Source organism: Homo sapiens, chromosome 15 (genome assembly GCF_000001405.40).
Source record: "Homo sapiens chromosome 15, GRCh38.p14 Primary Assembly".
Lineage (NCBI taxonomy): Eukaryota > Metazoa > Chordata > Mammalia > Primates > Hominidae > Homo > Homo sapiens.
This window is the reverse complement of record NC_000015.10, coordinates 81,115,560-81,129,422: the sequence shown is the minus strand read 5'-3', so window position 1 is coordinate 81,129,422 and position 13,863 is coordinate 81,115,560. Positions and strand designations below refer to the sequence as shown.

Here is a 13,863-nt window from a genome sequence, read left to right as displayed (position 1 = left end):
CCTTTCACCTTCCACCGTGATTGTGAGGCCTCCCCAGCCATGTGGAAATGAGTCTATTAACCTCTTTTTCTTCATAAATCACCCAGTCTCAGGATGTCTTTATCAGCAGCATGAAAACAAAATAATACACTAGGTCCCTTAAGAATTATGCTAAATCTACTTTTCCTGTGCTCTATAACTGGAAGAAGAAAGCCTGGATGACAGCACATCTGTTTGCAGCTTTGTTCACTGACTATTTTAAGCCCACTGTTGAGATCTACTGCTTAGAAAAAAAAAAAGATTTCTTTCAAAATATTACTGTTTATTGACAATGCACCTAGTCACCCAAGAGCTCTGATGGAGATGTACAAGGAAATTAATATTGTTTTCATGATTGCTAACATAATATCCATTCTGCAGCCCATGGATCAAGAAGTAATTTCAACTTTCAAGTCTTATTATTTAAGAAATGCTTTTTTTTTTTTTTCTCGAGACAGAGTCCTGCTGTGTTGTCCAGGCTGGAGTGCAGTGGCGTGATCTTGGCTCACCTCTGCCTCCTGGGTTCAAGCGATTCTCCTGCCAAAGTGCTGGGATTACAGGCATAAACCACCACAACCAGCCAATAAATACATTTTTAAGGCCATAGCTGCCAAAGATAGTGATTTCTCTGATGAATCTGGGTGAAGTAAATTGAAAACTTTCTGGAAAGGATTTGCCATTCTAGATGCCATTAAGAACATTTGTGATTCATGGGAGGAGGTCAAAATATCAACATTAATGAGAGTTTGGAAGAAATTGATTTCAATCCTCATGGATGACTTTGAGGAGTTCCATATTTTAATGGAGGAGGTAATTGCAGATGTCACGGATATAACAAGAAAACTAGAATTAAAAATGGAGCCTGAAGAAGTGGAATCTGAAAAAGATCACTCTTGGGAAGAATTAAAAATGGAGCTGCAGTCTTGAGGAGGAGTTGCTGCTTATGAATGAACAAGTAAAGTGGTTTCTGGAGGTGGAATCTACTCCTGGTGAAGATACTATAACACTGCTGAAATGACAACAAAGGATTTAGACTATTACATAAACTTATTTGATAAGGCAGCAGCAGGGTTTGAGAGGATTGACTCCAATTTCAGAAGAAGTTCTACCATGGGTGAAATGCTATCAAACATCATCACATGCTACAGAGAAATTTTTCATGTATGAAAATTGTCAGAATTAAAACAGAGTCACTAATGTTAAGATAATTCTGACAAATAGAGCTGGGAAAGACCATAAAGAGAGGGTTCTCACACTTATATGCCTGATAACGAAAAGATTCTACAAAAACCACAGCCTTACACAAAGGTCATTACCACCTTATACAAAAAATACTTCTACAAGGCCATCTACCCAACACTTGCCTATCCAACCTTGGACTGGTGTCACCTTGTTATTGATCTTTGTAACCAAGGAAAATTATTTAAAAACAACTATGTAGTCCTAATCTTTTCCTTTAAAAACCTTTATCTTTTCTTTACCTCCCTGAATACACACATAGTTTACTATGGCATGCATAGTCCCATTGCAATGCTCTGTCCCCAGATAAGTATCTTTTCTTTTAGAGAGCCTCTCTCTATTTGTTATTGAGGGTGACATATATGGTGTCAAAAGTGGGATCTGAAAAAGATCAGTCTTGGGAAGAATCAGTGATTCTTGGAACCAGTGTGTGGTACTCACTTCAGTCCTTTGAGCTCTGCTTCCATGGCTGTCATCTTTTCTGCCCTGGTGAGTTTTCTCTCAGGTTGAGCCCCTCCTCTTCTTTTGGTAGAGGCTTTTTAAATACTATTTGGGATCTGATTTAGATAAGCCCACCTTAATAAAAAAAGAAAAAACATACATCATTCTTGGGATGAAAAAAGACTTTTTGCCTTTTCTGATATGTCCTTTCTGGTATAAATACAAATGTTTTTTTCCAGATTGAGTACTCTTGGTTTCCACAGAATTTACATTCTGTCTCTGAGGCATATCTTCTGGTAAATTTAATTTTGGTCTAGCTTGCATACCTAGTTTAATGTTTTGTGTGATCTGCACACCTAGGTTAAAATGTTTGTGAGCATTCTTATCTGGGTTTTTTGCTTTTGTTTGACTTTTTCCCTTACTTGTTTCTGAAAATCTTCTGAGAGTAAAAATAAACACTCTGGATGGTGGGTGCAGGATGGCTAATTAAAAGCCACAGGGCAATCACCATCATCTAAAACACGGGTCTAAATTCCTGATGTTCTCTGACATGATTTTTGGATTTTCCTTGCTCTTGAGAGATTAATAAGAAACAGAATGGGATTCACAAACATTAAGGCATGCCAGGTTTTCTGGGACTCCAGCCAGCTACATATTATGGCCTGTTCTTGTGTACATTTTCAAACTGATAGGCAAATTCTATCAAGGAAAATTCAGAGTTCGAACGGTCTTTATTCAAAAAACCTGCAAATATAGAGTTAAAATGGAGAGTCTTACATGTTCTCTATCTCTCTATTTTTTTCTACCTACTTTGAATTTGCTGACTTTTCCACTGGTGTTAAGATAAAACTCACCACTTATGGCATTCAAGCAAAGATTTTTAAAAGTCTTTAAGAACTTTCAAATCAATGGTTTTGCAAATTCCAATAGTTCCGTGCTAACCAACAACCCTGATATCTTTTAGAAACATAAAATAGTTTTGCCTAACAATTGTGTGCAATGATAAAATACTTAACTGACAAATTAATAATCTAAAGTGAAAAGAAATAGATAAATATTTATAAAAATTAGGCTCTCAGATCAAACAGGTCAAAATCTTGAGCTCAGAGCAATAACGTAAGGTATCTGTCCAGCATAAAAATTTTACTTTTTGGCTACACTGAGGCCAAAAGGAAAAAGCTGAGAAAAAGAGAAAAATAAACTGCTCAAATTCTTCCCTGCCCACATTTGTTAATGAAGTAAACCAGATCAGCAAATAGATTTGTTACTTGTTCAAGGCTACCTGGAGATTTCATTTTTCTTATACAATTCAGCCAATCCTAGATAAAATGTAAATATTGAAATTTTAACCTTGAACTCACTTGAAGCTAAAAAAAAATAAGATGAAGGAAGTTTTTCAAAATCAAACTGACATGGAAACTGCTTTACCCAAAATTTTGATCTTCAGCCTTCATTCAATTACCTATCAGGGCAAATAAAGTTTAGCAATGTGAACAAATCTCAATTTTGTTAGAAATATAATTTGGATCTCACTTTCTTTTATACACCAGTGAGTTGGCCGGGCATGGTGGCTCGCGCCTGTAATCCCAGGACTTTGGGAGGCTGAGCTGGCTGGATCACCTGAGGTCAGGAGTTTGAGACCAGCCTGCCAACATGGTGAAACCCCAGCTCTACTAAAAATACAAAACTTAGCTGGGCATGGTGATGTGCATCTGTAATCCCAGCTACTCCAGAGGCTGAGGCAAGAGAATCACTTGAACCCGGGAGACGGAGGTTGCAGTAAGCTGAGATTGTGCCACTGCACTCCAGCCTAGGCAACAGAGCGAGACTCCATCTCAAAAACAAAAACAAAAACAAAAACAAACAAAAAAAACAATGAGTTGTTATACTATCTCATGACTCTAATACTAAAATGAAAGCTATATGATTTTTATTTGAGTGTGTATATGTGTTTAGATGTGTTACGGATATGTACATTTATCATGTTGTATGCTGTGTTTACATAGTAAAATCTGATGTCGTTGGTCAGAAATCCTCTAAGGATAAATGAGTACTCATATAAAATATAATATGTATATAGCCATTAGCCCAGATACCTTTTAGTTCACATGACTAAAGTAAACCTTTAGTAAATAAACTGGTTTTTAAATTACTGATAACATAAAAATAAAAATGTCTTCAAAATTGTCAGTATGCATTTTTGCTTAAGTTTACTGGTCAGTTTTATGTTGTCTTTGCTAGATGTTTTAAGGAATAGGGGTTTGACACAAAGTTTACAAAACTATAAATCCAGCCTAAAACAGAATTATCTGTTTGGGTAATTTCCTGACAAATAAGACTTTAATATTGTCAGTTTAATGAAAACAGATGTATCTTCTGATACATTTTGCTGAATATTTACCAGCAACACATTCATATATTTAACTTTAAGGTTTGCATTTAAATACCTAATACAGGCTATTAAAATGATTAATAGGGAAATAACTTGAAATGGTGATGGGCTTTGTCTACTTTTCAGTTCTCATAAGTAGTCTAGGTAAACTGTTTTTAAAAAATCAAGTAAATGTAAATCAAATAAATGCTTATAAATGAACTTGTTATTGTTTTTTTTTCTTTTTTACTTTTCTTTTAAATAAACTTTTTCTGTAATTGGAAATCTTAAAGTTATGTTATGTTAAATAAATAATAGATACTCTGGTATCTATGCCTGGGTCATTTCCAAATAAAAAAAATTTTTTAACTGAAACAAATTGCCAAACACAAATAAAAGCTTGTTCTTGGCTTAAGTTTTATAGAAAGACTAAAGTATATGAGTCTATTAATATACATTAAAAATTATGTTATGCACAATCAGAAATGATAAGGGGAATATTACCACTGACCCCACAGAAATACAAACAAGCATCAGAGAATATTATAAACAGCTCTATGCACATAAACTAGAAAATCTGGAAGAAATGGATAAATTCTTGGACACATACACCCTCCCAAGACTCAACCAGGAAGAAACTGAATCTCTGAATAGACCAATAATGAGTTCCGAAATTGAGGCAGTAATTAGCCTTTGAACCAAAAAAAGCCCAGGAGCAGATGGATTCACATCTGAATTCTACCAGAGGTACAAAGAAGAGCTGGTACCATTTCTACGGAAACTATTCCAAAAAATTAGAAAGGAGGGACTCCTCCCTAACTCATTCTATGAGGCCAGCATCATCCTGATACCAAAACCTGGCAGAAATAAAACAAAAAAAAGAAAACTTCATGCCAGTATCCTTGGTGAACATCAATGCAAAAATCCTCAACAAAATACTGACAAACTGAATCCAGCAGCATATCAAAGGCTTATCTACCATGATCAAATAGGCTTCATCCCCAGGATGTAATGTTGGTTCAACATATGCAAATCAATAAGTGTGATTCATCACATAAACAGAACTAAAGACAAAAACCACACGATTATCTCAATAGATGCAGAAAAAGCTTTCAATAAAATTCAATATCCCTGGTATTGAAGGAACATACCTCAAAATAATAAGAGCCATATATGACAAACCCACAGCCAATATCATACTGAAAGGGGAATACTGGAAGCCTTCCTCTTGAAAACTGGCACAAGACAAGGATATCCTCTCTCACCACTGCTATTCAACATAGTATTGGAAGTTCTGGCCAGGGCAATCAGGCAAGAGAAAGAAACAAAAAGCATTCAAATAGGAAGAAAGAAAGTCACACTATCCCTGTTTGTAGATGACATGATCCTACATCTAGAAAACCCCATCGTCTCAGCCCAAAACCCTCTTAAGCTTATAATCAACTTCAGCAAAGTCTCAGGACACAAAATCAATGTGCAAAAATTGCTAGCCTTCCTATATACCAACAACAGTCAACCTGAGAGCCAAATCAAGAAGACAGTCTCATTCACAATTGCCACAAAAAGAATAAAATACTTAGGAATACAGCTAACGAGAGAAGTGAAGGATCTCAACAAGGAGAACTACAAACCACTGCTCAAAAAAATCAGAGATGACACAACAAATGGAAAAACATTCTATGCTCATGGGTAAGAAGAATCAATGTCATCAAAATGGCCATACTGCCTACAGCAGTTTATAGATTCAATGTTATTCCCATTAAACTACCATTGACATTCTTCATAGAACTAGAAAAAAACTATTTTAAAATTCATATGAAACCAAAAAAGAGCCCAAATAGCCAAGGCAATCCTAGGCACAAAGAACAAAGCTGGAGGCATCACACTACCCAACTTCAAACTATTCTACAAGGCTACAGTGACCAAAGCAGCATGATACTGGTACAAAAACAGACACATGGACCAATGGAACAGAAGAGAGAACCCAGAAATAAGACCGCACACCTACAACTATCTGATCTTCAACAAACCTGACAAAAACAAGCAATGGGGGATGCCCATTTAATAAATAATGCTGGGATAACTAACTAGCTAGCCATATGCGGAAGATTAAAACTGGACCCCTTCCTCACACTATATACAAAAATTAACTCAAGATGGATTAAAGACTTAAATGTAAAACCTAAAACTATAAAAACCCTAGAAGAAAAATGAGGTACCACCATTCAGGACATTGGCATGGGCAAAGATTTCATGATGAAGATGCCAAAAGCAATTGCAACAAAAGCAAAAATTAACAAATGGGATCTAATTACACTAAAAAGCTCTGCACAGCAAAAGAAACAATAAACAGAGTAAACAGACAACCTATGGAATGGGGAAAAAATTTTGCAAACTATGAATCCAAGAAAGGTCTAATATCCAGCATCTATAAGGAACTTAATCGAGAACTTACAAGAAAAAACAAACAACCCCATTAAAAAGTGGGTAAAAGACATGAGCAGACACTTATCAAAAGAAGATATACATCAGGCCAACAATCATATGAAAAAAATCAACATCGGCCAGGCACGGTGGCTCATACCTGTAATCCCAGCACTTTGGGAGGGTGAGGCAGGCAGATTCCTTGAGGTCAGGAGTTTGAGACCAGCCTGGCCAACATAGTGAAACCCTGTCTCTATTAAAAATACAAAAAATAGCTGGGTATGGTGATGCGTGCCTGTAATCCCAGCTACAAGGGAGGCTAAGGCAGGTGAATCGCTTGAACCTGGCAGGCAGAGGTTGTAGTGAGCCGAGATCATACCACTGCACTCCAGCCTGGGCAACAAGAGTGAAATTCCATCTAAAAAAAAAAAAAAGAAAGAAAGAAAGAAAAAAAAATCAACATCACTGATCATTAGAGAAGTGCAAATCAACACCACAATGAGATACCATCTCATACCAGTCAGAATGGCTATTACTAAAAAGTCAAAAAATAGCAGATGCTGGTGAGGTTGTAGAGAAAAAGGAATGCATTTATACTGTTGGTGGGATTGTAAACTAGTTCAACCATTGTAGAAGGCAGTGTGGCCATTCCTCAAAGACCTAAAGACAGAAATACCATTTGACCCAGCAATCGCATTACTGGGTACACTCAAAGGAATAGAAATCATTCTATTATAAAGACACATGCATGTGTATGTTCATTACAGCACTATTCACAATAGCAAAGACATGGAATCAACTTAAGTGCCCAACAATGATAGACTGGATAAAGAAAAAGTAGTACATACACACAATGGAATACTATGCAGCCATAAAAAGAATGAGATCATGTCCTCTGCAGGGACATGGGTGGAGCTGGAGGCCATTATCCTTAGCAAACTAATGCAGGAACAGAAAACCAAATACTGCATGTTCTCACTCATAAGCAGGAGCTAAATGATGAGAACACATGGACGCATAGAAGGGAACAATACACAGTGGGGCCTTTCAGAAGGTGGAAGGTGGGAGGAGGGAGAGAATCAGGAAAAATAACTAATGGATACTAGGCTTAATACCTGGGTGATGAAACAGTCTGTGCAACAAACCCCCATGACATGTTTACCTATGTAACAAATCTGCACATCCCGCACATGTACCCCTGAACTTAAAAGTTAAAAAAAATATGTTATGGGGAAACATATTTCTAAAACTTATAAAATAGTTCTGATCTCTAAAATACTGATATGTAACAGACAAGTCAAGATTTCTTGCTTCCCAGGTTTTTGCTAAAAATTTAAGGTTGCTAAGAGTTAAACATTCTAATTAATATATATATATAACTTTGTATTTAAAATATACCAAAAAAGTCAGATGTGTTTTTGATGAAAAAAATTATAAGAAAAGTATACAAATATGCTCTCTGTTGAGAAAGAAAGAGTAATTTTGTCTAATTCAGAGGTTATTTGAAGGTTGTTTTAAAATACAGATTTAGGAAGGAAATAGAAATAAAATAAAATGGAACCAGCAAGTAGCAGATAGAAATGTAAAGTTATAAATATGAAAATATGTTTTTGGTAAAGAACATGAAAAAGAAAAGAGAATAATTTTGAATAAGAAAGAATCTTGCATGGTAAATTTTGTCCTAAAGTAAAATAATTGGTTATTTAAGATAGAGGAAGTATAGGAAAATGCAGAAAGCCCAAGTATGTCATCAGTGGTCTGAGTAGGTTGCAGTAAGTTTCATCAAAAATAATTTATAGAAGGAATTGTTTGTGTGATCAAATTGGCTATAATTAGAAGGAAATTATTTAAAAGTTTTTCTAAAGATTGAACTTGGACCTTAAAAATGCATTAATCCAAAATGTTAAAATGTGGTTCTCCATGTAAAAACAAGATTTTCTTAAAGTATTGATTTACTCTTAGTAGAATTGCAAGAGGTTTTGATTTTTAATTCTGAAACCCGTTTCTTTAATAGCCATCTTCTAAACTACAGACAGTTTCTATTTCATCCAGATATCTAATTAGTTTATCTAGTTTTAGGTTGGAAAATGCTGTGTTTTTCATTCAGAATGGTAACTTCATTTTTTGAGGTAAAATTTTCCTTTTTGAAACTTCTCAGATTTATATAAGTTCAACTTTTGCTGCACCTCACTGCATATGATTTGTAGGACATACGTCATTGCCTTCTGCTCTTTCTTCCCTTGAAAAGGTGTATCTTTTTGCTTGGCTCTGGTGATAACTCTCTCCTTCAACCTTTTTGTCAACTACTGTAACTTGTGTGTGTGTGTGGAGACGAGGTCTCACTATGTTGTCAGAGCTGGTCTTGAACTCCTGGCCTCAAGTGATCCTCCGACCTCAGTGTTCCAGAATTCTGGGATTACAGGTGGGAACCATTGGGCCTGGCCAATGGCTGTAACATTTTTTTCAGTTTTAGCTCTGTTGTTATGACCTGATGCTGACATTTTATTTTGGAGGTCTAGAAAAGCAATGTTTTCCTCCAATATAATTTGATTCCATACTCTTGGCTTTCCTTGAGGTGTCTGAATTGTTCCTTGTAGCCAGGAAACTTGTCATGCTATTACTAAGAGCCATGCATTCTCCTGGTCAAGGTATTAGTTTTCTTGTTTACATTTCTCTATAACATAGCATACAGTCATAATCCAGGATATACCCTTCATGTGTCTGATTAATTTGAGTTCCAGGTTATCTAAATGGGCTTCACCTAAGGAAGAGCAATCACACTACAGGAGGTTTTTCTTTAGCTTTTTGGTAATTGGCCTTAAAAATATATATTTTTTACATTTTATGAAGATAATACCTGCCTTGTCTTTATTAAGTTTTTTATTATTTAGGAAAACTGGGCTTTAAAGAGGTTAAGGTTTTAATATCCATGCAACTTTCTGTACTGCTTTTGAGCCTTTTATCACTCTGGATAATAACTTATTTTATAGTGACTGGTGATTCTGTTTTTTTAAATTTTTATTTTTTTAATTTTTTTTTAAAGACAGGATCTTGCTGTGTTGCCCAGGCTGGTGTTGAACTTCTGGCCTCCTGCACTGACCACCCAAAATGTTGGGATTACAAGCATGAACCACCATGGGGGCTGGGGCCTGTGATTGGGTTTTGATCAATTGTTTTGAACCTTTTAATGTCTTTGGCAGGTTTCCCCAGAATCAATATTCTAAATTATCTCTTTTTGACCTAAAATTAACTGGGATTTTCTGGGTGGGCCTCCAGAGAGCCCCAAAAAATGTCTCTCTCATCTTGTAGAGATACTAAATGATTAGACTTAGGTAAATTGTATGGGAGCCATTGCCAAATGGTAAGTGGTGCTGGATCTTCTTTCAGTTACAATTATGGGTATGCTATTAATATAAAGTTTCAAAAATTATATAACGTTATTAAAATCTGTTAATTTATTAAAAGTCATAATTTTATTGCTATGTTGAATGTTTTCTAAAGCTGTATTTGTGTGGCTATCTTATTAATATGAGTATTCTAACGATAATATAAAATTTATAAAAGATTATAAAAATTTATAAAAGTCCTGATGTGACACTCTCAGTCATGATTCTGGTTGTTATCTTAAAATACTGCATGTAGTAGAAATAAATAAATTTCTTTGTCAACTGGGAACTTTCATCAGATTTTAATCATGGCTAGTCTAAGTTTTTGTCATCTATAATTATTGTTTTGAATTCTTCTTTAAAAGTATTTGCAATCAGCTATAGTCTAAAATTGCTTTTCATGGAAAACACTCTAACAACAGATATCTGGTAACTTTAAGATCAATGGACTCAATAAAAATTTCCAGAGCCCTAATTTAAAAACCAATGGGTTCATAAAACTGCTAATTAACATCCAGCAAAACAAAACAAAATACATGAAACTAAGCAATTGATAAAAATAATGTTCTGACGACTCTTATTTAAAACCTTATTGGTTCTTTACTTAAATGTTTTCCAGATTTCAGGAAATTTTATCTCACAAGCTATCTATAGTTTATAATAATTTGGTAACGTATACAAAAATAGAAGCAATTGCTTCTTCTCCCTACCTGATTCTTCCAAAATTCAGAAACTATTCGTGAGTATTTTTATTTATATAAGTTCAATAAAAATACATTCTCTCTTGGGTGGTTTGGGGCGGGCCTCAGCTGGGCTCCGCTGGCGGGTCGTGCAGCCTCTGGCCTCGCTAGAGTACAGCCCGGTGCGGCCCTCGTGGGGCGCGGCTGCGTGTGCGCTGGTCCGGCCTGGAGGAATCGCCCCTTTGGTCTCCCGGGTTTAGCGCGACTGCCCGCCACCGCGAGCCCCCCGCGGACTAGCGCGGGGCCAGGTGGCGCTGCAGGCGGACGCCCCAGCGGGTGAGTGGCTTTCCCGCTGAGGGCGGCCCCGCGTGGCCTCCCACCCCGCTCCGGTCCCACAAGCAGCCGGGTTTCGTGCCCTCAGGTGGCTGTGGTTAACAAGCCGCGAACTTGTGGGAATTCGTCCATCAGGTTTACCTGGCGTGCTCGACGTTTTTCAGCTGAGATGTAAGAGTGTTTAAAGAGGGTTCGAGAACATGTCTTGGACAACTGCAAATCAAATGACTGGAAAATTGAGAGCTTAACAGCTGAATTTGTGAACTTAGAGTTCCTCCGTTTAATAAATGTAGGTTTGATTTCAATTTCAAATCTCCCCAAGCTGCCTAAATTGAAAAAATTTGTACTCAGTGAAAATAGAATCTTTGGAGGTCTGAATATGTCTGCAGAAAAACTTCCAAATCTCACACATTTAAACTTAAGTGGAAAAAAACTGAAAGATATCAGCACCTTGGAACCTTTGAAAAAGTTGGAATGTCTAAAAAGCCTGGACCTCTTTAACTGTGAGGTTATTAACCTGAATGACTACCAAGAGAGTGTCTTCAAGCTCCTGCCTCAGCTGACCTGCTTGGATACCTATGACCCAGAGGACCAGGAAGCCCCTGACTCAGATGCCCAGGTGGATGGTGTGGATAAAGAGGAGGAGGATGAAGAAGGAGAAGATGAGAAGGACTAGGAGAATGAGGATGGTGAAGAAGAGGAGTTGGATGAAGAGGAAGATGAAGACGAAGATGTAGAAGGGGATGATGACAAAGATGAAGTCAGCGAGGAGGAAGAAGAATTTGGACTTGATAAAGATGAAGATGGATGAGGATGAAGATGAGGATGAAGAGGAGGAAGAAAGCGGAAAAGGTGAAAACAGGAAGAGAGAAACAGATGATGAAGAAGATGGTTAAGACCCCAGACCACCTGCAGAAACAGAACTGTTCAGTATTGTTTGGACTATTCATGGATTTGGTAGCTGTTTAAAAAAAAAAAAAAAAAAAAGTAGCTGTGATACAAACCCCAGGACATCCACCCACCCAAAGAGCCAAAGAATAGGTTCTGTGACATTCTGCCTTCCTCCATTTAGTCCCTCTTGGTAATCTACCACCGAGCTTAGGGACTTCACCCCAACAAAATTGTAAGCATTGTTAGCTTTTTGTGTGAGACTCTTGCTGTAGCGTGGATAGCTGTGATTGGTGAGTCAACCATCTGTGGCTACCAATTACACTGAGATTGCGACAGCATTTTTACTTTCTGTACAACAAAAAAGCTTTGAAAATAAAATCTTAACACTGAATATATATAGTGTATATTATATATATATGTATAATCTCTTTATAAGTATGATACAATTGGAAACATTGGTTATATTACCAAGATTTTGACTAAAATATCATATTTAAGAATGTGCAGAAAATGCCTGGCTTCCAGAGTTCCCAGCCTCACAGTGAGTAAAAATTGTCACTTCCTGGCAGGTCCAAGAACCTTAAAACTGTATGTAAAAATCTAAAGTCTGCCTTCCTATGGATTCCTAGCCCCAAAAGGTTTTTTAATATGAGATTCCTAAGTGATCAGTGCAGAGAGAAAAGGTTAGTTTTCCAAAAACAACACTATAAGCCATCTGTATTGGATTGCAGCCTTGTGAATTGTTTACAAGTTCTCATTATCTACCTGTAGACTAGACTAGACCCTGAATTCTCCTAATTTTCTCTAATATTTGGCTACAACTCTCCAACTAAAAACAAAAGTTGCCCTATTCCTAAAGCCCTACAAGCTGAAACTAGACAAATTTTAAGAAACAAGCCTCATGCTCGGTGTATGAATCACACAAAAAACTCACCAAGCCACCCAATGTCATGACCAGAGATACTCACACTACAAACCAGGGGAAAAAGTTGATGTTTTCACACCATAAACAGCTTTTCCCAAGATGTTGAAATAAGACTCCAGGCCAGGCGCAGTGACTCAAGCCTGTAATCCCAGCACTTTGGGAGGCTGAGGCGGGTGGATCACCTGAGGTCAGGAGTTTGAGACCAGCCTGACCAACATGGTGAAACCCCATCTCTACCAAAAATACAAAAAAAATTAGCTGGGCGTTATGGCGTGCGCCTGTAGTCCCAGTTACTTGGGAGACTGAGGCAGGAGAATCACTTGAACCCAGGAGGCGGAGGCTGCAGTGAGCCAAGATTGTGCCACTGCACTCCAGCCTGGGCAACAGAGCAAGAATCCATCTCAAAAAATTTGTTCTTAATAAAATAAAATTTTTAAAAAAGAAATGACTCCATAACATAATGAGACTTTTACCTCCCTTAATGTAACCTTTTTCACTTGGCAAGTGAAATGGTGTAACCGAAATTCCACAGTTAATAGCTGGTAACCTAACGGAACCTACTCTAAGAAATCCTTTAGTAACCACTGGTTAAATAAGAAAACGTCTGTACTGTTGCTAATACTACATGCTGTACCTAAACACATTCTTCTCTGGAAAAGTTCAGACTTATGTTTACAACATAAGAAAACAGGCCACATGGTTACAACAGGTCTCACTTATTCCCTATAGTCATTTGATTCATTCAATTAATTGTCTTTAAGCCTAGATTCTGGTTGAGGTGGGAGTATTGCTTGAGCCCAGGAGCTCGCAATCAGCCTGGGCAACATAGTGAAACCCTGTCTCTGTTAAAAAAAAAAAAAAAAAATTAATTAGCTAGGCACAGTGGTACCTGCTGTAGTCCCAGCTACTTGGGAGGCTGACCATAAGAGATCACTTGAGCTTGAGAGATTGAGGTTGCAGTGAGAGGCAATGACTCCACTGCACTCCAGCTGCAGTGACAGAGTGAGCCCTGTCTCAAAACAAATGAAAAACAAAAGCCTAGGTTCTAGCTGAAACCCATTATGCAAACTAGAATTTTGTCATATAATTATTAATTTTTACTTTGTATTTTCCCTTTTTAAACTTTGGATCTGTTATTTATTAAATGTCTTCAGA

At 37.0% G+C, this 13,863-nt stretch overlaps 1 protein-coding gene and 1 pseudogene across 2 annotated transcripts in view; one reads left to right on the top strand and one right to left on the bottom strand.

The window, feature by feature from the left end:
• Positions 1-13,863, bottom strand: part of CFAP161 (cilia and flagella associated protein 161) — a 49,772-nt gene that overhangs the window by 19,757 nt on the left and 16,152 nt on the right. The window contains exons 1-2 of one of the 2 annotated variants that reach the window (XM_017021963.2): positions 10,590-10,631; positions 1,699-1,833 (exon numbers count right to left, since the gene is read on the bottom strand). The gene's annotated coding sequence lies outside the window, so the exon portion shown is untranslated. Of the gene's footprint in view, positions 1-1,698; positions 1,834-10,589; positions 10,632-13,863 lie in introns of those variants that run through there. The other variant, XM_006720408.3, reaches the window with a different exon arrangement.
• On the top strand, positions 11,083-12,284 carry ANP32BP3 (acidic nuclear phosphoprotein 32 family member B pseudogene 3; annotated as a pseudogene).